Below are 23,744 nucleotides of genomic sequence, written 5' to 3'. Positions count from 1 at the left end.
TAAATACTGCCTTTATTCTCTATACACAGCACCAACAAGAGCAGCAGCTTTGCCTCTGGCTTTGTTCCGGGCTGTAGATAAGAATGCCTGTCATTCACAAAGGGCTTACTATGTACCTGCTACTAAGTATGCTTTGTATATTAACTTATTAGATTGTTAAATGACACTGACTTATCATTATTCTTAATTTACGATGAGGAAATTCAGGCACAGAGAGATTAAGCAACTTGCCCAGGAGTACATATAAAGTCAGTGGTAGCCACAGGATTCCAACCCAGGCAATCTGGCCCCAGGGTCTGGGCTCTAACCATTTTGCAACACTGCCTCGACAGCTGAAGTGGAATCAGGGCTTTCTGCTCACTTCAGACTCCAGTCTGGGCCCAGTGGAGGCACAGAAACCACTCTCCTCTCATTTCCCTTTCTGTCGATAGCTGTGAACACAGCATCTCCATCTCAACCTTGTCCACCGAAGAGCCTCTCCAGGCTTCCCAGGGGCATGTGAAAGGCAGCCTGGGAGCGGTGTCTGGAAGACATTTTCAACTCAGATAGAGTGGAAAACAGGTCAATGCTAATACAGTCACTCTCCGTATCTGCAGGTTCCACATCTGCAGATTCAGCCGATCACAGATCAAAAATATTTTTAAACTAATAAAAAATAACAATACCAAAATAACGAATAATAGGAAAATTTAAAAACAGAGTATTACAATTATTTACATACTATTTAAATTGTATTAGCTATCATAAGTAATCCAGAGATGATTTAAAGTACAGTCATGTGCTGTACAGTGATGTTTCAGTCAATTATGAACCTCATCCTTAACAGTGGTTCCATAAGAGGATGATGATGATGATGATGATGATGATGATGATTTGAGACAAGGTTTCACTTTGTCACCCAGGCTGGGGTGCAGTGGTGCAACTACAGCTCACTGGAGTCTCAACCTCCAAGGTTCAGGTGGTGATCCTCCCGCCTCAGCTGGGACTACAGGTGTGTGTCACCATGCCCGGCTAATTTTTGTGTTTTTTGCAGAGACGGCATTTTGCCATGCTGACCAGGCTGGTCTTGAACTCCTAGGCACAAGGGTTCTGCCCACCTTGGCCTCCCAACGTGCTGGGATTATGGGTATGAGCCACCGTGCCTGGCCAAAATTATATTACCATATTTTTATGTACATTTTCTATGTTTAGATGCAGAAATATTTACCATTGTATTACAGTTGCTTACAGTATTCAGTACAGTAACATGCTGTACAGGTTTGTAGCCTAGGAGCAATAGGCTATACCATACAGCCTAGGTGTGTAGTAGGCTATGTGTCATCTAGGTTTGTGTAAGTACACTCTAGAACAGTGGTCCCCAACCTTTCTGGCACCAGGGACCAGTTTTGTGGAAAATAATTTTTCCACTAATGGGGTGGGGGGGGTGGCTTCAGGATGATTCAAGTGCATTACATTTATTGTGCACTTTATTTCTATTATTATTATAATATTAATATATAATGAAATAATTATACAACTCACCATAAAGTAGAATCTGTGGGAGCCCTGAGCTTGTTTTCCTGCAACTAAACAGTCCCATCTAGGGGTAATGGGAGACAGTGATAGATCATCAGGCATTAGATTCTCATAAGGAGGGTGCAACCTAGATCCCTGGCATGTGTAGTTCACAATAGGGTTCGTGCTCCTATGAGAATTTGACGTCACTGTTGATCTGACAGGAGGCAGAGCTCAGGCAGTAATACAAATGATGAAGAGTGGCTGTAAATACAGATGAAGCTTCCCTAGCTCATCTGCTGCTCACTTCCTGCTGTGAGGCCTGGTTCCTAACGTGCCACACACTGGTACTGGTCTGTGGCCCAGGGGGTGGGGGATCCTTGCTCTATAATGTTTGCACAATGACAAAATCACCTAACAACATAGTTCTCAAAATATATCCCCATTGTTAAGAGATACAGGAGGATATGCATAGGTTATATGCAAGTACTATGCCATTTTATATAAGGGCCTTGATCACCTGCAGATTTTGGTGTCCATGAAGGGTCCTAGAACCAATCCCCCATGGATACCAAGGGACAACTGTATCTGCCCTTCGTTAAGCATCTCTATCGGCCAACGTGGGCTTTACGTACATTATCTCATTTAATCCTCACATCACTAAGAGGTAGCTAGTATAATCCCATTTATTATTATTATTTTTTGGCAGAGGGGAGGTCTCACTTTGTTGCCCAAGCTGGTCTTGAACTTCTGTCAAGTGATTCTTTCACCTTAGCCTCCTGGGATTACAGGAGTGAGCCAGGTGGGAGCCACCATTCCTGGGCAATCTCCATTTTAAGATGTGTAACTAAAGCTTTGAAATTTTTCTGACATTACTCAGTAGTTGGCTTAAGTAGGAGTTGAACCCGTTTCTGTTTGGCTGTAGTGAATGGGATCTGCTAAGGCACCCTGCAGGGACCCAGTCCACATGAATGTCCCTCCTCTCCTCCCTGCCTCCCTTTCCCCTCCTTTCTTCTCCTCTCCCCAACTTCACTTTCTCCCTTCTCCCTTTCTCCTTTTCTGCATCTCCAGAAAGATGATCCCCTGAGTAGGTCCCTTCCATCTCTGACAGCATCCAATGGCTCATAGCAAGCACATTCCCTGGGTCAGCACTTGGGAAGATGCCTCAGGGTAAAAGGAAAGAGGCCTACAGGGAGAGAGAGCGCAGGAGACAGAGAATCCAGCCATCACTGCAGGGGTTTCTGACTGACATAGTGCCTGCCAACACCCAGAAATATGGAGATTAGCTTCGGCTCTCCATAGCTATAACCATCCAACACCTGTTTAAGAAAAAAAATCTACAAATAAATATTTGCAAAGCAACTTAGGTGCAGCCCCTACACACTGGCGCACACATACTCAGTCACTCCGGCTCACTCACATGATCTGGGCTTTAGTGACTCTCTCACACTCTGTCCCCTAAATGTTGACCTGGTGGGAAACTGGAGAGTTGCTGCAGGGCTGGCCCAGGGTAGGAAACCCAGAGGATGAGAGAGACCCTATAGGTGGTGTTCCTAGGACCCTATGAAGGCTTCTCTAGGACTGCTGGCTCATAGGTTCCCAGTAGGGTACAGGGCATTTCTTAACTACATATTAGTGAGCAGTGAGCCACCTTGAATGTCTGAGCTGAGAAGGGCTTTAGAGACTGTCTCCGGTCATCTCTCATTTCATGAAACTTTCAAACAATCTAAAGCCACAGAAAGTTACAAAATCCCTGTGGTGGTTTGGCTGACTGCTAAAGTCAAGATGGGCTAAATGTTAAGACAAACACCCTCAAATTCTAAGTGACTTGACACAAAGCTGTCTTGCACTCACCTAGCAGTCCATTAGGGGGTACCAGTGGTGGAGTGAGAGGGCTCTCCTCCATGCAGTCATGCAGGCACCCAGGCTCTAACCATCTTTGGTGCTGCCATCTCCAATAAGGTCATCACAAGACATAAAGACAAGGTGGAGGTTTTCACGGGTGGACATTACTCCTGCATACATCCCATTGGTCAGGATTCATCATAGAGCAAGGGAGGTCCAAGAAGAAGAGGAGGAACTCAACATTAGTGAGCAGTAGCAATCTCTGTTACTTTCTGGAAGCAGGCATGACTTTCTTTCCTTTTACTTTGAACCCTCCACTCTTAATCTCTCAGGCAGGTGTTAATGATAAAAACAAAAATAAATAATAAAAAGAGGTCCCAATTTTGAGGGCTTATTATTTGCCAGACTGTGCAGATTTTATTTCGTTTAATGCTCACAAGAAGCCAAAGCCAAGGTTCTGGCATTATTTCTGTGTTCAGAGAGGGTAGAACTAAGGCTAAAAGAGGTTTAGCAACTCCTCTCAGGTCACACAGCTCTTCTGGGTGGGTAGTCCTGCTGGGATTGGAGCCCAGCTCTGTCTGACTCTAAGGGGGTACAGGAAGAGCTAAGGACAGCCAGGTTGGGATTCAGCCATAGCTGGGTCACTTCAACCTCTAGCAGACAACAGAGAAGCTGAGCCACTCTTCCCCACAGCCATATCCTTACCCCCACCTCCAAAGAAGGGGTTGGGAGGCAGAGAGCCTCTGAATCACCAGGCAACTTGACAGCACATCCCCTGCTCAGTAAAATTGCTTTTAAAAAGCACTTACTTTTTATGATCTAATTTAGGATGACATTGAGTGTTCTCCAGCAGATGCCTCTGCCCCGTTCCCACCAGCTCCCCACTTCTTTCTACCCCTTTCCCTCAAAGCTGTGGCTGCCCCTGTGAGCAGCAAAACTCATGCCCTGAGTGCAACTTCTTCCCCATTTTGGGGAGGAAGTTGATTCCACACGGTGGGATGGGTTGTCCCCAGACTGCCTCCCACTCTGTGTTCCTCTTAGTCCCAGAGCCCCAGAGCCTACCACTGCCTATGCTGTGGGCAATATTGTGCTCACAGAGATCGTGGGCACTGGGGTCAGACAGGCAGGGTTCAAGGCTGGCTCCACCACTTACATGTTAGTTATAGGACCTTGATCAATAATTAGCCTCCCTCACTTTCATCTGTAAAATGCAAATGGTAATATCTGCCTCCCAGTGCTGTGGTGAGGATTAAGTGAAATAATTCAGCTAAAGTTCTGATCCTAATGCCTGGCACACAGGAAGAACTAAAAATGCTTTTGGATGTTATTAGTTCTGGGATAAAATATATCAATGAGCAGATATTCTGAGTAAACCCTTCCTCCATTAACTGAGTAAGAGGGGCCCTCTCTGCCCACATGCTCACCCCATTCAAGACCTCTGAACCAATCTCTATGCACCAGACTAGTTCTGCACCTTGCTGATGCTGAATTGATGCGAGGGAGGCTGAGGAAGGACTTATCCAGAGAGGGTGAGTTGATCTATATAATGAATGAAGAAGGGGAGAGGAGATCAGTCCAGGTCTTCTGAGGAGCAGACACCAAGGAGAAATCAAATGTGCATGGATTTTAAGAAAATGCCTGTGAGAAAGGAAATAAGAAGTGAGCTGGGAAAGCTAGGAGAGCTGTCAGACCACAAGGCTGGGCAGGTGGGGATACAGAAGTCTAAGGAAGGTTTGGCAAAGACATTGAGAGTCACTGAGCCAAAGCCAGTGGACAGAGGGGTACCCTATCTTTCGACTTCAGCCTCCAGCTGCACTCAGTCATTGGTGGGAAGAACTCCTGGGAAGCATGGGTTCCAGGCAAAGGCAGCCATGGATTCCAAAGCTCAGCAGCTAGAGCCCCAATCAATCACTGAGGTATAATCAGAAAAAGGAGGTCTCTGAGGCACCGAAGGAAGGAGACAGACTGAGCTGTGGGCAGAGGCTGGGCATGCATTAGTAGAAGGAGCTGCAGAAGGAGAGAGTGCAGAGCAGGATGGTTGGGAATATAAAAATTGTTGGAAATTACAAATTATCATTTCTTTAGTGTTTCTTGGGAGATAGAAGTTATAGATTGGGAATTCCCTTTTTATGATTTTTGGCTACCTAGACTGTGCCCCTTCCAATATGATTGCATCTGAGACTAGTTCCAGTATTCAACAAATCATTTTATAAAATATGGTCCCTATGAGGCGGAGCTTGCAGTGAGCCGAGATCCCACCACTGCACTCCAGCCTGGGCGACAGAGCGAGACTCCGTCTCAAAAAAAAAAAAAAAAAAAAAAAAAAAATATGGTCCCTATGATGCAGCAAACATAGTTCTAAAGGCTTTATTCTCACAACAAACCTATGATGTGGGTATGATCTTTGTCATGCTGATTTTACAGATGAGGAAATGGAGGCACAGAGAGGTTAAGTGACCTGCCTGAAGCCAGAGCCAGAAAGTAGTAGAGCTGGGATTGGAACCCCAGAGTCCATGCTACCGCCCACCCTTGGCCACCACTCTGTCTCTGTGTCCCCATTCCCTTCTTCCCACATCTCCCCTCTGCATTACAGCCTTGCCTCAGCACACCAGTCCCGAGGTGTGCAGCCACTCCCACTTCTGATTGCCAGCTCCCCTGCAAGCTCCCTGAGGACAGGGAGGACCCTGCCCTCCTGAGCTCCCTGAAGCACTTGGCGCTGGCCAGCCCAGTACAGTTACCACATATCTGCTCATCTGGGTTTGGATCATCTTCTAAAGCCTTTGCACTTCATCACCCCCAAATTCTGCTCTGTTGTTTAAGGACTGTCTCTCTCAAAGCTGACTCTCAAGTAGGGCTGACCTCCATTCTGGGTGTGGAGTAAGGACAACTCTTTTGGAGGTAACGTCACAACCCTCAGTAGCCACCTACACCAGTACCCCACAAGCTTCTGAAGGTCTAATCCCTCCCCCCATGTTGCTCCCTGTTCATTCGTTTCTTTAGCCTCTTGGTAAAGTCCACAGCCATCTGCTTAAATGTAGAACTGGAGGCTTAATTCAGCCCTACAGCTTTGACTGGCTTGAGATATAATGCTTATTTTATAGGTACTTAGAAAGGGAGATGTTCGCTGGTTCGTTGGGGGGATGGTTCATGACCATAATACCAGCACTTTGGGAGGCCGAGGCCAGAGGATCACTTGAGCCCTAGAGTTCAAGACTAGCCTGGGTGACAAAGCAAGACCCCCATCTCTACAAAAAATTTTTAAAAATTAGCCGGGCATAGTGGTTCACACCTGCAGTCTCAGCTACTTGGGAGCCTGAGGCCAGAGGATGGCTTAAGCCCAGGAATTTGAGGCTGCAGTGAGCTATAATTGTGCCACTGCGCCCCAGCCTGGGTGACAGAATGAGACTCTGTCTCAAAAAAAAAAAAAAAGACAGAGAGAGAAGACAGAAAGGAAAGAAGGAAGGAAGGGAGGGAGGGAGGGAAGAAGGGAAATGGAAATGTTCATTGGGACAGAGACGTGGAATAGTCTACAGGATTAGAGAAAAGCAGGGCCTATTTGTGTTCCTTTTCTGCCAGTGCATGTAAATTCACCACTTTAAGAACCGAAGCCAATCAGATCACTTCATTATTGGTCTTTATGGAAATGTGGGTCCTCAACACTTTCCTGACTCTGGAGGACCCTGACTGGGGCTTCTTCTAGGAGCCAATGGATGTGCAGGGAAGGAGAGCCCCAGGCAGAGAGTGCACCATGGCACGAACCCCACCCTTGCCCCACAAGCCTGGCTAACCCCACAGCTGGGCAATCCCAGGGAGGGGGAGTCATGAGAAAGAGGAGGTGGGGGCGGAGCAGGGAGGCAGAAGCACCAACACCAGGCACTTCACGCCTTTCCTGGCTGTATGCCCACTATGCCAGGCCTACCCCACAGAAGGCCTTGTGCTAACTCGAGGAAAGCTGCCATTCCCTGGGCAGCTACCCCGGGCTGCAGGCAGGCTGAGCTCTGCCCCATAGGGACCGGTGGGCTCTGAGGACACAGGTCAGACCTGCGTGCCTGGCTGCCTCCCTTGGCTCTGGAGCCAACAGCTGGACTGTGGTCGATAAAGAATCGATTTTCTTTTGTCTTGTGAGGCTTGTCTGTTGTGACAGAAAATAGGAAACCTAATAAAGACTGTGCTGCAGACTCTCAGCGCCCTGAGCCTGCTCGAGCCCCAGTGTTAGAAGGAGAAAGAAAGGGGTGGGGGGTGAGAAACAAGTGCACTTCCTGAACAACTCCAGGGGGCACTGTTCATTTGGTGTTTGCTTTGTGCTGGGGGCTGGGGTGCTCATAGAGATAACTAAGAGACAGAGATAAGAATGCGGTGGAGAGAAAGAGAAAGCTTCCCTAGCACATCCTCAGCAACTGTGCGTACAGGCAGTGGGCTCTGAGGTCGCCTTTCACTCGAGACCAGCCTCAAAGGCGGATGTCCAGTGCAGTCACACAGATCCCATGCCTGCAGCTTCATGCTCTGCTATCACTGTCTTAAAATGAAATTCTTGACAATTTTATCCTTGAATGTCTGTTTTGTATGTGAAGTCTGATGGGCTGTTTGTCCAAGCGAGCACTGGGGCTTGGAATTTCAGTTCCTAGGAAATCTCACCCTTTGCCACCTGCCTTTCTCCCCTGGGGGTGGAAGTTTTTTTCACCATCCACCCTCCAACCCCTGCCCATCCTCCCTCCCCTTACCCTTCCTGGTATTCACCAGCCCCTGCCACTGGGAGCAGGGCTTCAGATGCAGGCTCAGGGAGGGTTGCACTTGGCAATTTGGCTCTGCAGCATCTTGGGGTCATGCATGAAGGTAACTATTCCGGCCCCAGGCTGGCACCTCCAATACATGCACTCAGTGAGTCCTGGCACAGAGGTTGCAGCCCCTTTGGGGTCACCTATCCACCATGAGTTGGGTAGGGGAGATGCCTGCCTCAATTTCCCTGCCCCTGGCTCTGGGGCAGATCATTTGCCCACACACCAAGTCACAGCCAGGCGGGGTCTGGGCACCTGTGAGGGTCTGTGCTTGTCAGGACTGTCCCCATGCCTCAGAAAAAGCAACATTAAATAGCAGATGAGAAAACACCATGACAGGTTGAGAGACCACAAAAGCAAGGCAAACATTTTATATTTTAGAATTTATAACAGTACTTTTTACCTGCTTTTGAATAAGAAGCCCTGTATTTTTATCTGGCATCAGGCCTCAGAAATTATGGTAGCCAGACAGAACGGCACCTCTTACCAGTACTCATCTCCGGGTCTTGTGGCTGAGAAGGGCCAGGTTCCACAGGAACCTCCAGTGCTGCAGTGAAATGTGGGGGCTCAGGGTTCCAACACAGCTTCAGTCCCCTGCCTCTCTCTGCCTTGCCTGCCTGGGCTCTGAGGGCACCTGGCCACCTTCCATCTTCCACCAGCCTCTCCTGACTTCCAGCCCCTGCTCCCGTCTCTGTTCTCTGCATGCTCCCTGGCTGACTTTCTGCATCGACCTCCTAAGTGGGGGTGGCCTTCAATGCCCTGTGCCTTAGCCACTCTTCTCTCTCTTCCCCTGACAGTGTCTACTCCTCTGTTCTCACCCACACCATTGTCAGAAGTTGACCAAAGGCCACCCCCTAGCCACCTTCACTCAGCAGCTCCTGTTTACAATCTTAATCAGCAGAATGTGTATTTCTCAGATGTGTATTCAAGACCCTCCGCTCTTCCCAGGGAATGCTGTCCTCTCTGACTCAGTGTGCTGAAAATGGAAGTTGCCCATCTTTCTCCTTACGGCAGCTCTTCCTTCTGACTTTTCTATTTCTGGCTGTGACATCCTCATTCTTACTATCATCCAGATCTGAAACTTCCTAGCCATCTTTTACTCTTCCCTTTCCTTCACCTCCCACTTCCAAGAAAGCTCAAAACCTTGTCATTCCTTCCTTGAAAAATGTGTCTTGCGTTTGTTTATCCTGTAGGTTCCTACTGCCTGCAGTCTAGTTCAGACATTTATCAGCTCATGCCTTGACAAGAGCTTCCAGCTGACCCCTCAGCCTTAAGTCTCTCTGCCCATTATGCATGTACATGGCTCTAAGAATAAGTTTATTAAGATGGCTGTGCTGTGCTGACGGTATCATTCTGTCACTCAAGCATTTTCAGTAGCTCCCTGAGAGCCTAGTTATCCTCTCTCCAATATCTGATCATGTCAGTTAATGACCACATCCCTCCCCTGCTAAGACATTCAGGGCTTTTTATTGCTCAAAATGACCCCTAATGTGGCCCACACACACACAAATGCACACACACTTACTTTGTCTAGGTAATTCCTACTCATCCTTCTTAGCTCAACTTCCTTGTCGTAAAGGTTTATAGTGCTTCCTACTTCTCTTATGAGGAAGCCTTACCACTATTGTTGCTAAACCATGTCATAAATGATTAAATGTCACTCTTCCCTTCTAGAATATAGCCTTCAAAAGGGCAAGGACTAGGTCAGTTCTGCTTGGACAGACCCCTCCCCTTGCCTAATGTACAGTAGACATTTAGAAAATATTTGTTGGACAGGTGAATGAACTACCATTTATTGAATGCCAGATTCTCTGCCTGGCACCTCATCTCATTTAATTCTCAGAGTATCTTTTTCAGTGCTGTTTCCACTCCATAGAAACTTAAAACGTCAAAGGTTGTGTTATAAACAAGGAGCCACTCTGCCTCCTGGCTAAGCAGCTCTTTCCACCCATGCGCCCCAACTCTCTGACTTCACGCGGACGTTGCTGCCAGCTAAAATGTCCCTTCTGCCTTCATCTGCTGAAGTCCTAGCTAACTTTCAGAGTCCAACCTTAAAAAAGGTTCCTGCCACCTTCTTATTTGGTCTTAAATACCTATAATGGATAAGTTCAAGGGCTCTGGGAATAGACAGACTCGGATTTGAATTCTAAGATATGAAACCCACTTCCAAGCTATGTGACTATGTGACTTGGAGTAAGTTACTGATGCTCAGTTTCCTTATCTGTAATATACTGATTATAAGTACTGGCCCCATGAGGTTTAAATGAGATAGGTATTTGGAGCGCTTAGCACAGAGCCTTGTGTATGGAGGAGCTAAAGCAATATTAGCTCTCCTCCTTCTCTTCCTTTTCTTTCTCCTCCTTCTTGCCCTCTCCTCTTTCTTCCCCTTCAAATCTGCCCTGTTACTTATTCATTTTCCATTATCCCATTCTTACCTACCAACCCTGCCCACACCATCCTGGAACTCACAATATTTTCTCTATGACATCATGTCGGCAATCATTTCAAATGAATTCTATTGGCAACAACATCTGCCAGTGAGGAGTCAGTAGGTAGAAAATTCCACGTGGACCATCTACACATGTTCTCCTGGATGTTTGCCCCATGACAGCCCAGAGGAGACATCATTTTTCAATCATCTCTGCACCTCAACTCTGTGAGTTATTTTGCATGAGAACTTTACAAAAGGTCCTCAGGGACCCAGATCCTGAGATCCCAGCCTCCCTGGTAGGGGAATATCCAGTGAAAGCTGAGCATAAAGGCCCCCATGATTCAATCACCTTCAACCAACTTGGTGACAAGTTGACTTCACTGGACCATTTCGTGTAATCCAATACGTAGGGATTACAATTCAAGATGAGATTTGGGTGGGGACACAGAGCCAAACCATATCATTCCGCCCCTGGCCCTTCCCAAATCTCATGTCCTTTTCACATTTCAGAACCAATCATTCCTTCTTAACAGTCCCCCAACGTCTTAACTAATTCCAGTATTAACTCAAAAGTCCAAGTTCAAAGTCTCATCTGAGACAATGCAAGTCCCTTCCGCTATGAGCCTGTAAAATCAAAATACAAGTCAGTTACTTCCAAAATACAATGGGGGTACAGGCATTGGGTTAATGTTCTGGTTACAAATGGGAGAAATTGGCCAAAACAAAAGGAGCCACCGGCCCCATGCAAATATGAAACCTGGCCCGGCAATCATTAAATTGAGGCTTGTTTACCAAGCTCAGTAGAGTCCTGGTGATGTCACACTTTCATTCAGTGGAATGGGGATTTTCCCAGGGGAAGCAAGAGGAAAGGCACATGACCATTTTTGAGCACCTACTCTGTGCTTGAAAACTTACATCCACTGCAGTTCTTACGAGCCTACCCCAAAGGTGGACCACATCATCTCCATTGTAGCTCCGTCGAAGCGTTCAGGAAAGGCTTTCTAGAGGTAGTCATTTCCTTCTTGGCTTCTCACACTTCTAAACAAGTTAAAAAAAAAAATCACCACTAGATAGTTCCAAAAGAATGGCGAACGGCATCCATTATGAGCCAGTCACCCAAGGCAGACCCTGACGGAGGATCCCTGGAGGAAAAGAGAGGCTACTTCTTCTATTTGGGTAAAGGCATCATGGCCATTAAGAGGTGGATTGTAACATTCAGTTTTCTCCAACCCCGTAAGTCCTGCCCAACTCTTTGCTCAGGCCTACAAAACCAAACAGGCCCGGCACTGAATAAAGCATTCCACACAATGTGGCAAGTAATGCAGCTAGTCCAGCAGGGAAGCTGATTGCATTTTTGGCTTTTCAAGAGATTATAATAAACAGCTGTTAGGACAAAAATATTTTTTTTTAAGTGGCAAAGAATCTCTTGGGTTTCTAGAACCTGCTGTGCTTTTTCTGCATATCTCCAAAGCACTTAGGACATATAAGGGGTGTTATTTAAGGGAGTAAATAACAACATTTATGAACTTTTCCTGGAGAGTGCAATTAGCTTTGCATAATCCCCTGAAACTGCGTTCCTGGGGAGCGGACCACTGGGAGAGCCTGAGGAAAGGTTCTGCTGGAGAAAAGGGCCAGTGGCAGACAGAGCTGAGTTTCCAAGCATCTGCTCAGAAACATTTCCAGAAGCACCACTGGCCAAAATGGGTTCCCTTCAGGCCTGCTGCTGGACTGAAAGTTGCCCCCCTCACCTTCCAAAGGGAATATTTTAGGGCTTCCTTAGTCATTAACACTATAGAGAGAATTAATCAACTACTTTTCTCTCATGGTAGCAAGCTCTTAGAAGGCCTGGAGCAAGAGGAGCTTGGATTCGGGGAAGGTCTGGAGGAGGAAGTAGCAGAGTGACGAAGAAAGCCCAGTTGGATGGGCACAATGAGGAAAAGGAAGGGGAGGAGTTTGAGGAACAAGGCTACTTAAATCTTATTTTCTGTACTTTACAATTTGAACCAGCCCTCTAGAACCAGCCCTACTCACCCAGTGGTTGTCTTTTTTTCCATCCTAGCTCTGTCCTTTCCTTCAGCATCAGTGATTTCCTGCCAACTCTGACCCATCATTCTTTTCCCCAGTCTCAAAAAACCTCCTGCCCACCTCCCCAGTGAGTATCCTTCTTGTTTAAGGATTTTAATTATTTAACGATTGAACATAATGCCTTGGATGTGGGCATGTTTGGGCATCTTGAAAGACCCTCAGGACTACCAGGGGTCAGTTTATATGGAACCAAGAGCCCCTTGGGAAAAATTTCACCCTAAAGAAAGGAGAGTCAAGAGGAGATGACATTTCTGAAATCAGAAGGGTGGAGTGATTCTGGAAGTAGATCTGTATCTGCCCTCAGGATTCCATGCCTGAGCTCTGGGGCATGAAGCCTATTATAAAAGAGAAAGTCAAAATGATGATGATGATGACGCATGTGACACAGCCTCACTAATATCTGCCCTGGTATTTAAGGCAGGTTGCCAGTACTGGTAGCAAGTTTCTGTGGTATGGGAAAGGGGGCTGCTGCAACCCAGGACCAGTAGCAGCTGTGGTGGTGGCTTCCAGCCTGAACAGACATGGATGGCTTCCAGCAGCAGCTCTGGATGAAGCTATGAGGGAAGCAGCTGACTCCACAGAAAGATTGAGATCTGGAGGCCCTGCTTGTGGAACCCCTGTGAGACATGTGAGATGTCCCCTGTGGAATCCTAGAAGTATTTAGGAGGTACTAAAGGGGAATTCCACTAATTCCCAAAGAATTAGAGGGTGAAGAGGCAGAAAAATCCTGGTAACCCTATTTTACCCCAACTTAGTGTGGCTTGTCAAGTTGGGTGTCTGACTTTAGAAGGGAGAGTGGGCCCTGTGAAATCTTGTCATTTCTACCATAACTCTGTCTTAATACAAAGGTGATTTTTCCAAGAAAGCCATTGTGAAGTTCTAGGCAAAGGCCAGACAGAAAGGAGAGTGGCCATGTTGTAGTCACTCAATCAATATAAATGAAATTAATTAATTCATTGTAGTTTCAATGATCTCCATTCCTAAAATTATAGCTAGCGGTTTCTACATATCATAAAGAAGATGCTCATTGTTAGTGCTCAGTTGTAACTTTAGCCTCAGGCTCAATTGTCTAATTAAACACCATCAACTTCAACATGAAACTTTGCACTGTGACTAGAAAACAAAAAGAATATTTAGCTTTAGAGAGAAAGAGAGATCTCTCTCTCTGCCTGCCCTTTGAGATTCTCACAGCTCAAATTATCTGTGATGGTGTTAACATAGCCTTGCTTTCTCTGGGTGGTTCCTCTTCCCTTGGGGGGGGGCATTTCTTGCCCACTCTGACTCGAATGTGTTACCTCAAGTTTGTCTCCTTGTGAGCCAAGCATGAAAGAGTTAACTGTTCTGATGTTGACAGCTGCTAGTCCTCAAGTATCTCTTAACCCTCCTGCCTATTTCCTATTGAAACCTCATCTTCATATATGTCTCTGGTGGCTGTCTCTCCTGTCTTCTGTGGCTCCAGAACACTTGATTTCCCTGTAGTCAGTGGCAATGCTACTGGATGGCTTGGGGGTCTTCAGCCCCATCTCCATCAGCCTCCCCAGACCCACCTCAAATTTTAAAAATAAACTACTGTTGGACAAAGACAATTGATATTTTATCATAGAGCTATAAATAGCATATTTAATAAATGCTGGCTCTTTATTAATCTGCTACGCACCCTGTAAAACAAAGCAAAACAGGGTTTCATGACATAGTATTTCTATCTCCCTTGGGAAGTTTACTATGAGGACCCAAGAGTCCAATCATACAAATGAGTAAGGTGTTATGCCAGAGAAGTATAGTTGTTAGGTAGGATAGGAATTTGCCTAGGAGCTGGAAATCTGGTTAGAAATGGATCGAGGGTCTTGTTTTGAAGGAGCATTTGCATAGAACCCCATTCCCACCAGCCAGACTAAATATCTCATAATTCATGGGGCATTGGTTTAAATATTCAGAAGAGTCTTGCTTCATTAGTGGGGAATAACTGTCTTTAAATTAAATGCTGCTTTGGTCCCATCTAATGAATCTTAAAAGACCAGAAAGCATTAATCTATGCTCAAATAGCTTAACTGAATCCCAGAAAGAAACATCAAGAATATTTATAGAGATACAAAAATATCCAGCACTCAACAAGGTAAAATTCATAATGTCTGGCTTTCAATCAAAAATTATCAGGCATGCAAAGAAGCAGAAAGTCTAGGCCATAATGAGGAGGTAAATCAATCAATTGAAACTGAGCCAAGACTAACATAGTTGTTAGAATTATGAGACAAGGATGTTAAAACAGTATTTTGAACTGTATTCCACATGTTCAAAATGATAGAATAAGAAAAAAAGCTATAAAAATCTTGAATATGTCGAGCGGGAACATGAAAGACCCCAATTTTTTAAAGACCAAAATAAAACCTGTATAGATGAACACTACAAGCCATTGGATTTAAAAAATTACACTTGGAGGACTAACAACAAATTAGACATTGCAAAATGAAGTTTAGTGTACTTGAAGACTAGCAATAAAAACTATCCAAAATGGAACACAAAGAGAAAAAAAAGACTCAAGTAAGATGAAAAGGACATCAGGGAACTGTGGGACAACTCTAAGCAGCCTAATGCACATACAATTGGAGTCACCAAAAGAGAGGTGTAAGCAGAAAATGTATTTGAAAAAATAATGGCCAAAATTTTTCCAAACTTGGTGAAAATTTGAAACCACAGATTCAAGAAGCTCAATGAGCTCCAAGCACAGAAAATATGCAGGCAACTACACCAAGGAATACCATAATCAAATTGTTCAAAACTACTGATTTAAAAAATCTTAAAAGCAGCCAGAGAAAAAAGACACCTATGTACAGAGGAACAAAAATAAGCATGACATCAGATTTCTTGTTGAAAAATGCAAATGAAAAGACATTTAAGGCAATGAGGGGAAATATATCTTTCCAACATAGAGGCAAAGCGAAAATATTTTCAGACATTCAAAAGCTGAAAGAGTTCAGCAGCAGATATGCACTATAAGAAATATTAAAGACCATCTTTCAGAAAGAAGGAATATGATACCAGATGAAAATCTGTACCTACATAGAAAAATAAAGAACAACAGAAATAGTAATTTCATGGATAAACATATAAGATTTTTGCTATTATTTAAATCTCTTTAAATGTAACTGACTGTTAAACAACAATAATAATATAATGCAGAGATTATAACATATACAGAGGTAAAATATATGACAAAATTCAGAAGGAAAGTAATGGAAGGATGCTATTGGAAGGTTATTATACTATATGTAAAATGGTATCCTATAAGCGAAGGTAGATTGAGAAAAATTAAAGATGTGTGCTATAAAACCTAAATCAACCACTAAGCAAAACAAATAGTTATAGCTAAAACATCAATAAAAGAGATAAGATGGAATAATAAAAATAATTAAATCAAAAGAAGCCTTTGAAAGAAGAAAAATGGAAAAAATAAATGAGACACATAGACACATAGAAAGTAGGAACAAGATGGTAATTTAAACCTCACCACATCAATAAGCACATTAAACAAGGTCTATTTACTCCAAAAAAAGGCAGAGATAGTCAAACTGGATGAAAAATAATACTAGCATGCATCTTCACCTAACTGACATTTATAGAACACCCAGCCAAAAACAGTAGAATACACATTATTTTTAAGTGGACATGGAACATATACAAAGACAAATTATATTCTGGATCATAAGACAAGTTTCAATAAATTTACAAAGATTCAAGTCAACATCATTAGTCATTGGAGAAATGCAGATTAAAACTATAATGAATTATAAATCTATTTAAGTGACTGAAATTAAAAAGCCTAGTCATGCCACATATACCAAGTATTTGGGAGGATGTGGAGGAACTGGAATTCTCCTACATCACTGCTAGGAATGTACAATTATACAACCACTTTGGAAAACTGGAAATTCCTTAAAATGTTAACCATGTGTCTACCATATGATCCAGTCATTTTTCTGCTAGATGTTTATCCAAGAAAAATGAAAGCATTTGTCCATACAAAGATTTGTATATGAATAATCATAGAAGCTTTATTTCCAATGGCAAAATAACCAACCCAAATGTCTATTAATGTACGAACGCAAGTTGTTGTAGTCCATGAAAAAATACTCAGCAATAAAAAGGAATGAACAATCAATTCACACAACATGAGTCACAAAATCATTATGCTGTTTGAAAGACGCCAGACAAAAAGGAGCACATACTGTATGATTCCATTTATATAAAAGTCTAGAAAATGCAAATAAGTCTACAGTGACTGCAAGCAAATCAGTGGTTATCTAGAGAGGAGGAAGGCGGGAGTAAGAAGGTGGGAGAAAGGCACTACAAAAGCACACAAGGAAGACTCTGGGCTTCTGGGGTTGATGGATATGTTCATATTTTGCTTTTTTTTTTTTTTTTTTTTTTTTTTTTTGGAGATGGAGTCTTGTTCTGTCACCCAGGATTACAGGTGCGCACCACCATGCCCGGCTAATTTTTATATTTTTAGGAGAGACGGGGTTTCTCCATGTTGGCCAGGCTGATCTTGAACTCCTGGCCTCAAGTGATCTGCCCACCTCGGACTCCCAAAGTGCTGGGATTACAGCTGTGAGCCACTGCACCCAGCCCATATTTTGCTTTTGGTTTCATTGTGCCTATGCACACTTTCACACACACATACATATTGCAGTAACCAAAATAAGATGTTTGCAGATGCAACTAAGGTTGCTAATCAGCTAACATTGAGATAGAAGACTATCATGGATTTTCCAAGTGAGCCAAATCACTTAAGTTCTTAAAAGCAGAAAACCTTTCCTAGCTGTGGTCAGAAAGAGATGGCAGCATGAGAAGAATTTGATGCTCTGTTGCTAGTTCTGAAATGGAGATGCTATATGCAAGGAGCAGGGAGAGTCCTCAAAAGCTAGAAAAAACGAGGAAAATATCTCCCTTAGAGACTACAGGAAGGAATGCAGCCCTGCCTGCAGCACCTGGATTTTAGTCCAGTGAGACCCTTACTGGACTTCTGCCTCAGAGAACCATAAGATAAACAATTTAGGCCACGAAATTTGTGGCAATAATAGAAAACTAATACACAATTCCTACCCCAGCATTTAATATCATCATACTCTAACATTTTCCTAATCTGATAGGTGAAATGGTTTCTTCTTTAATTCGAATTTCCTTGATCACTATTGAGTTAAACCTCGATTTTTATATTTTATCTTCTGTAAATTGTATATTCCAGCCATTCAATTATTCTTTAAGTTGGGTTATTGTTTTATTGATTAATAAAAATTTATTTATGTATGTTGGATGCCATTCCTCTATTATATGTATTATAAATATTTTCTTCTAGTCTGCTTATATCTTTTAACTTTGTAATGTCTTTTGGCATAAACTTTCCATTTTATAGTCATATTTTTCTGTTCTTTTAAAAAACATTGGATGTGTGTGTGTTAAGAAAATCCCTCTTCATGCAAATGTCCTAAAAATAATTTATGATATTTTCTTGAATCAATGGATTTAAATTGCACACTTTAAGCTATGTGTATATCTTTTATCAGGTATAATAAATTTTCTCAACCCCATTTATTAAATAGTTCATTTATTTCTTACTGACAAATCTATTACATATCTATCACACATTGTTACCATATATGCATGAGTTTGTTTTTGGTTTTCTGTTGAATTCCATTTATTTATTTGCCTTCTTTTGTACCAATGCCACACAGTTTTATATCTTTTTGTTCTATTCTTGGAGCTCTACTTTTCCATAAAAATTTCAGAATCAGTTTTTCAAATTAACATAGAAGCTTCCTGAGGTCTGAGACTGTAACTGTGCCAGATCAATCTGGTTCAACTTTTCTGTAGCAAAATTGTGAGTTGTTTTTAAGTTGCCATGGACCCCTGGGTTTAAGGTCACATAACCTGAGCATGCTCAGATGAACCAAGTGTGCAACCACCAGTGGAACCTAACTGCTGGGACTGAGGAGCTGGAACTGAGTTAAGAAGCTGACATTGCATGGCAGGACACAGAATCCAATGAGATTGAGCCCAGGCATCATCCCATGGCAGGATCCAGTCAAATCATGCCTCCTAGCATCACCTAATTGCAGGATCCAATAAGATTACGCTTCATTACCCTACATTTATAAAACCAACCCCAGCCCTGAGCTCAGGCAGACAGATTTGAGCATTTCCTCCTGTCTCTTTGCCAGTCTACTTGCAATGAAGCTTTTCTTTTCTCAAAGGCATGTGCCATGGTATCGACCTCTAAGTGCATGGAGCAGTGAGCCCATTGATTGCTTGGTAACAAGATTTTAATCTTTTTTTTATTAACTGAAGAATTATTTGTGTGTTTGGTGTGTTGCAGGAGCTCAATAAATATTTGTTGAATGAAAGAATGAATATTTGTGATATCAAACTATTCCCTTCATTGTAAGTGGTGGTATTAGTTTCTTAGGGCTGCCCTAACCAAGTGTCACAAACTGAGAGGCTTAAAGAGCAGTAACGTATTGTCTCACAGTTCAGGAGGCTAAACGTTTGAAATCAAGGTGTTGGCAGAGCTGTGCTCTCTCTAAGGGAGAATCCTCCTTTGCCTGTTTCAGCCTCTGATAGCTCCAGGCATTCTTCAACTTGTGAAAGCATGACTCTAATCTCTCAATTTCTCCCTCCATCTTCACATGGCCATCTTCCTCTCTCTGTGTCTGTGACCTCACATGCCATCTTCCTCCTTGTGTCTCTCTCTCTTCTAATAGGGGCATCAGTCATATTGGATTAAGGGTCCAGTCTACTCCATTGTGATGTCATATTAACTAAATACATCTGCAATGATCCTATTTCCAAATAAAGCCCCATCCCAAGGTACTGGAGTTAGGACTTGGACATATTTTTTAGAGAGATACAGCTTAACCCCTGTCAGTGGTATATCTCTTTTTTTCCTCATGCTTTATTTTTTGTCCTTCAATAACAATTATGAGTCTTTCTCCATAGATCTTATCCATCTTTTGTTGTATTTCCAGGCAACTTTATAGCTGTTTTTGCTGTTGAGATAATTTTGCCTATTGCCTTTTTCAAATTGATCATTACTAATGTATGGGCATTGTATTGATTTCTGTATGTTGATCCAGCAAACTTCTTGCTCTTTTCATAGTTTTAAATGGGTTCTCTGATGTGTGGAAACATGAATGTTAAGCTCCATATTCTTTAATTTAGACATGGCCTGAAATAATGTGGAATATAGAAAGTACAGGCTTCAGATGACAACTTAAATAGAATGTTTGAAAAGTAGAAGATTGATTTATATGTTTTCAAAAGACAAATACTCAGCTAGTTATTACATACTCTTAGATAATAAGAGATTGATATTTATTTATAAATTGATTGTCTTAAAAATTAAGTTAATTCTATATTTAATCTAAATCTTGCTAGAATAAAGTTGAGCTTCTCCCTAAATCTGTTTGCTAAAAAGACCAAAAGCTTTCCTACACTATTCATATATTTGTTTTGTTTGTTCTAAGGACTGTTGACTTGTAACTTTGAAGCTAGCATATCTTTATTATGGAAAACTAAATTTGTAAAGATGTTTATTATAAACAACTTTGGTGATGAGTGATTCACTATGACATTCCTTCTCTGTCTCCATCTCATCCTGTAAAAGAAATGTGCAGTTCTCTTAAAATTAAGAACATGGTTAAAGGCATATTTTATTCTTTTAAAATATATACACAAGGAAGTTTAACATACTCCAGCAGATTAATTTTCAAAAACATGCAGTCTTGATATGTCATAAGAGCAGAGTCTTATGGATTTTCTATATAAAAGATCACATTATCTGTAAATGATGACATTTTCTCTCATCATCTCCAAACCATATATCTAGTTTCATTTTCTTGTCTTATTGCATTAAGACCATCAGCATATCACTGAATAGTGGACATTTGTTTTAAGTTTTTATTAGATACCCTTCATTGCATCAAAAGTTTGCAAACAGAAGTCCCATTTTATTTCTAGTTTGCTAAGTTTTTATAAAATAATGATTTCTTTTGAACGTTTAGTATTTTTGTGCTTATTAAAATGATTATGATTTTGCTCCTTTTTTAATGCAAATTTTATTGATAGATTTTCTAACAACAACTTTGAATTTCAGGGATAAGCTGTATTTGATTAGTTTATATTATTTAAAACTGCTGAATCTAAGTAGTTAACATTTTATTTAGAATGCTTCCATGCATGCTTTATATGCATGCTTTCAATAAGACTGATCTATAATTTTCTTTTTCTATACAGTGTTTATCTGTTTAGATACCAAGATTATACTAGTCTCCTAAAACAAGTTGAACTGTCTCTCCTTTTATTCTCTGGAAATCTGTTTTTAACTACTAGAAACTACCCCTCCAATTTCACCATGGGATCTCATTTGAATTTTGCAACAAAATATGATTATATTCACCTATATCCTGATTTCTCTCTAGGTTTTATAAGCCTTCTGCCATGTATTCATTCACTCACTGTCAAGCAGACAAAATGGATAAGTCCTTTATTCAAGGAGCTCAAATATTAGTTGATATAAACTGTTCTTCTGTTATCCTCCAAGACTACAGTCTTTTTCTCTGCCAAAAAAAAAGATTTATCTCTACCTTTCTAAACTTAATTGCCTTATATGTGTTAATATCGTCTTTATCCCTAAGCAATTCCTACCCCTTTCTGTCTTCTCCTAGAATATTTTATACATAATCCTATTGCATGCAGCCTTGATTCAGGAATATTCTAGAGGTGGCACCTGCAATCAAAGCCTCCTCCTGCTCACTGTCAGTAGTTCAGGTATGTATTTATACTTTGGGGAATTTAGTGGGAAAGGCTTCTGGGAAATAACTCATGTTGTGTCCACTACTGGAGTGTAGACTATTGGAAAACAACAAACACCAAATTTCCTTGGTTTATTTCATGACTCTATATGTAATTCCCAATACTATCATTTTTAGTGTACATATTTGTTTCTCAGTGATACACATAGACTGCAAGGGCAGGAACCCAACCGAAGGTGAACAAACTATGCCATACAAACTGGTACTCTAGTGTTGTTATTTTGTTTCGTTTTTGTTATCTTGGAGACTTTACAACAGCCTACTCAAGTGTTCTAGCCCAATTTCACAGGGGCTATGAATAATTAGAGGGGGTCCTATCTTCATTAAAGGGGGAATGCCACCACCCAGTCAGCCCAGTGTGGTGGTGGCAGCCAGGGCAGTGAAAAAGGTGACTCTGTGGTGACCTGAGTCAGAGACATGAGGCACAGTGATTGCTTTTCACATGCAGGTTCAACACTACATCCAAGGGCTACTTTGAATATCTGGGTTTGACTTTCATTAGGAAAAAGAGATGGCCGGGCATGGTTGCTCATGTCTGTAAACCCAGCATTTTGGGAGGCTGAGGCGGATGAGTCGCTTGAGCCCAGGAGTTTGTGACCAGCCTGCCCAACATGGAGAAACCCCATCTCTCCTAAAAATACAAAAATTAGCCAGGCGTGGTGGTGCATACCTATTGTCCCAGCTATTCGGGAGGCTGAGGCAGGATAATTGCTTGAACCTGGCGGGGTGGGGTGGTAGGAGTAGCGGGGCAATGGGGGCAGAGGTTGCAGTGAGCTGAGATCATGCCACTGCACTTCAGCCTGGGTGGCAGAGGGAGACTCAAAAAAAAAGAAGAAGAAGAAGAAGAAGAAGAAGAAGAAGAAGAAGAAGAAGAAGAAGAAGAAGAAGAAGGAGAAGAAGAAGGAGAAGAAAAGAAAAGAAAGGAAAAAGAAAAAGAGATCATTGCTTTTCTTATATATGCTTTAGTCAATTTGGATAGGAAAGAAAGTAATACGTCACAGCAAGTCTTCAGATGTTTTTAGAGACTGCTCAGAACAAAGCTCTCTTCAAAGTCAGTGCAATTGACCTGAAGCCCAGAAAGAAGAATCCTTAGGAGCCAGAGATACATATCCCATCCTCCTTCAGAGTGCTGGGGTCAGGCAGGGCCCACGAAGGCTGAAGAGGACACCCTCTGAGCAAAACCCACTGCCAAGTGGAAATTTACACCAAGCAAGGACTAGGAAGCTGGATCTGCGAGGAGCCGAGATGCCACACACTGGCATTGCACCAGCCTTTCTCTTCCTGGGTCAATGGTCTGGATGGCTGAGAAATGATAAGTAGAATTAGATGTCCTGTGAATTGTGCCATGAAGTCTGCCTTTAGAGTTTGAATCAGATATCTGAACCCTGTAAAGTTCTTTCTTGCCTGTGTATAAGTTTTGGGTGTTGTTTTGTTTTCTCATATGTTAGTAAGTGTTTTCCACATATATGCATGTATATGTATATATCCTTTAGATACAAGTGGTAGAAAAATCACAAGTCTGAGTTACTTAACTAATAAAATATTTATTATCTTATGCAAGAGGAAGTCTTGAGGTAGGGCATTCAATTGTTTAGGGACCTAAGTTCTTCCATTCTGATACTCTTCCATCTTCAGTACGTCAGTTTTGTTCTCAGACCAGCTTTTTTCATGGTCACAAGATAGTTCCACAGTTCCAGGTATCACACCAGACATGTCAACATGCAAAGGAAGAAGAGATCTCTTCCTGTATACCTCTTCCTCTGTATCTCTAGAAGCCTCCTGGTGGACTTCCTTTCAGGTCTCATTGGCCAGAATTATGTTCCATGCTCATACCTAAACCAATCACTAATATGGAAAATAAGACCACCATGATTGACTTAGAACAACCACCCTTGAAGCATGTGACTGAATGGAAGAGAGCAGAAACAGAAATAAACTCAGGATTCCTTGGGTTGGAATAATATCAACATTCCTTGGAAGGAAAGGGATGAAGTGGAAAATAAATACAAGGCAATCAATAGTAGTTACCACACCTGATTTCTTCTGAATAAGGAAGTTTCCCAACCCCAGTTCAGACTAAAAAGGAATTAATATGTTCTCTGGTGGTATTTGGAATAGACTTAAAGCAGCCAAAAGAGAGCAAAGTGGGTGTTCCAGGAGAGGCAAAGAAAGAGATCAATACAGAGGACCCATGGATATTGGCTCTTTTCCTCTGGAGCCATTTCTTCAGTGTCGGATGCTGCTGCCTTC

At 42.4% G+C, this 23,744-nt stretch overlaps 1 long non-coding RNA gene across 3 annotated transcripts in view; it reads left to right on the top strand.

Moving 5' to 3' along the window:
- The window catches only part of LOC105369496 (uncharacterized), a 38,770-nt gene that overhangs the window by 5,740 nt on the left and 9,286 nt on the right, over positions 1 to 23,744 (top strand). The window contains exons 1-3 of one of the 3 annotated variants that reach the window (XR_948016.1): positions 10,640 to 10,770; positions 12,605 to 12,697; positions 21,348 to 21,450. This is a non-coding gene — a long non-coding RNA (uncharacterized LOC105369496). Of the gene's footprint in view, positions 1 to 10,639; positions 10,771 to 12,604; positions 12,698 to 21,347; positions 21,451 to 23,744 lie in introns of those variants that run through there. The other 2 variants (XR_948017.1, XR_948018.3) reach the window with 2 other exon arrangements.

Source organism: Homo sapiens, chromosome 11 (assembly GCF_000001405.40).
Source record: "Homo sapiens chromosome 11, GRCh38.p14 Primary Assembly".
Classification (NCBI taxonomy): Eukaryota; Metazoa; Chordata; class Mammalia; order Primates; family Hominidae; genus Homo; species Homo sapiens.
Note: the sequence above shows the minus strand (reverse complement) of the source record. Positions and strands in the feature narration are given on the sequence as shown.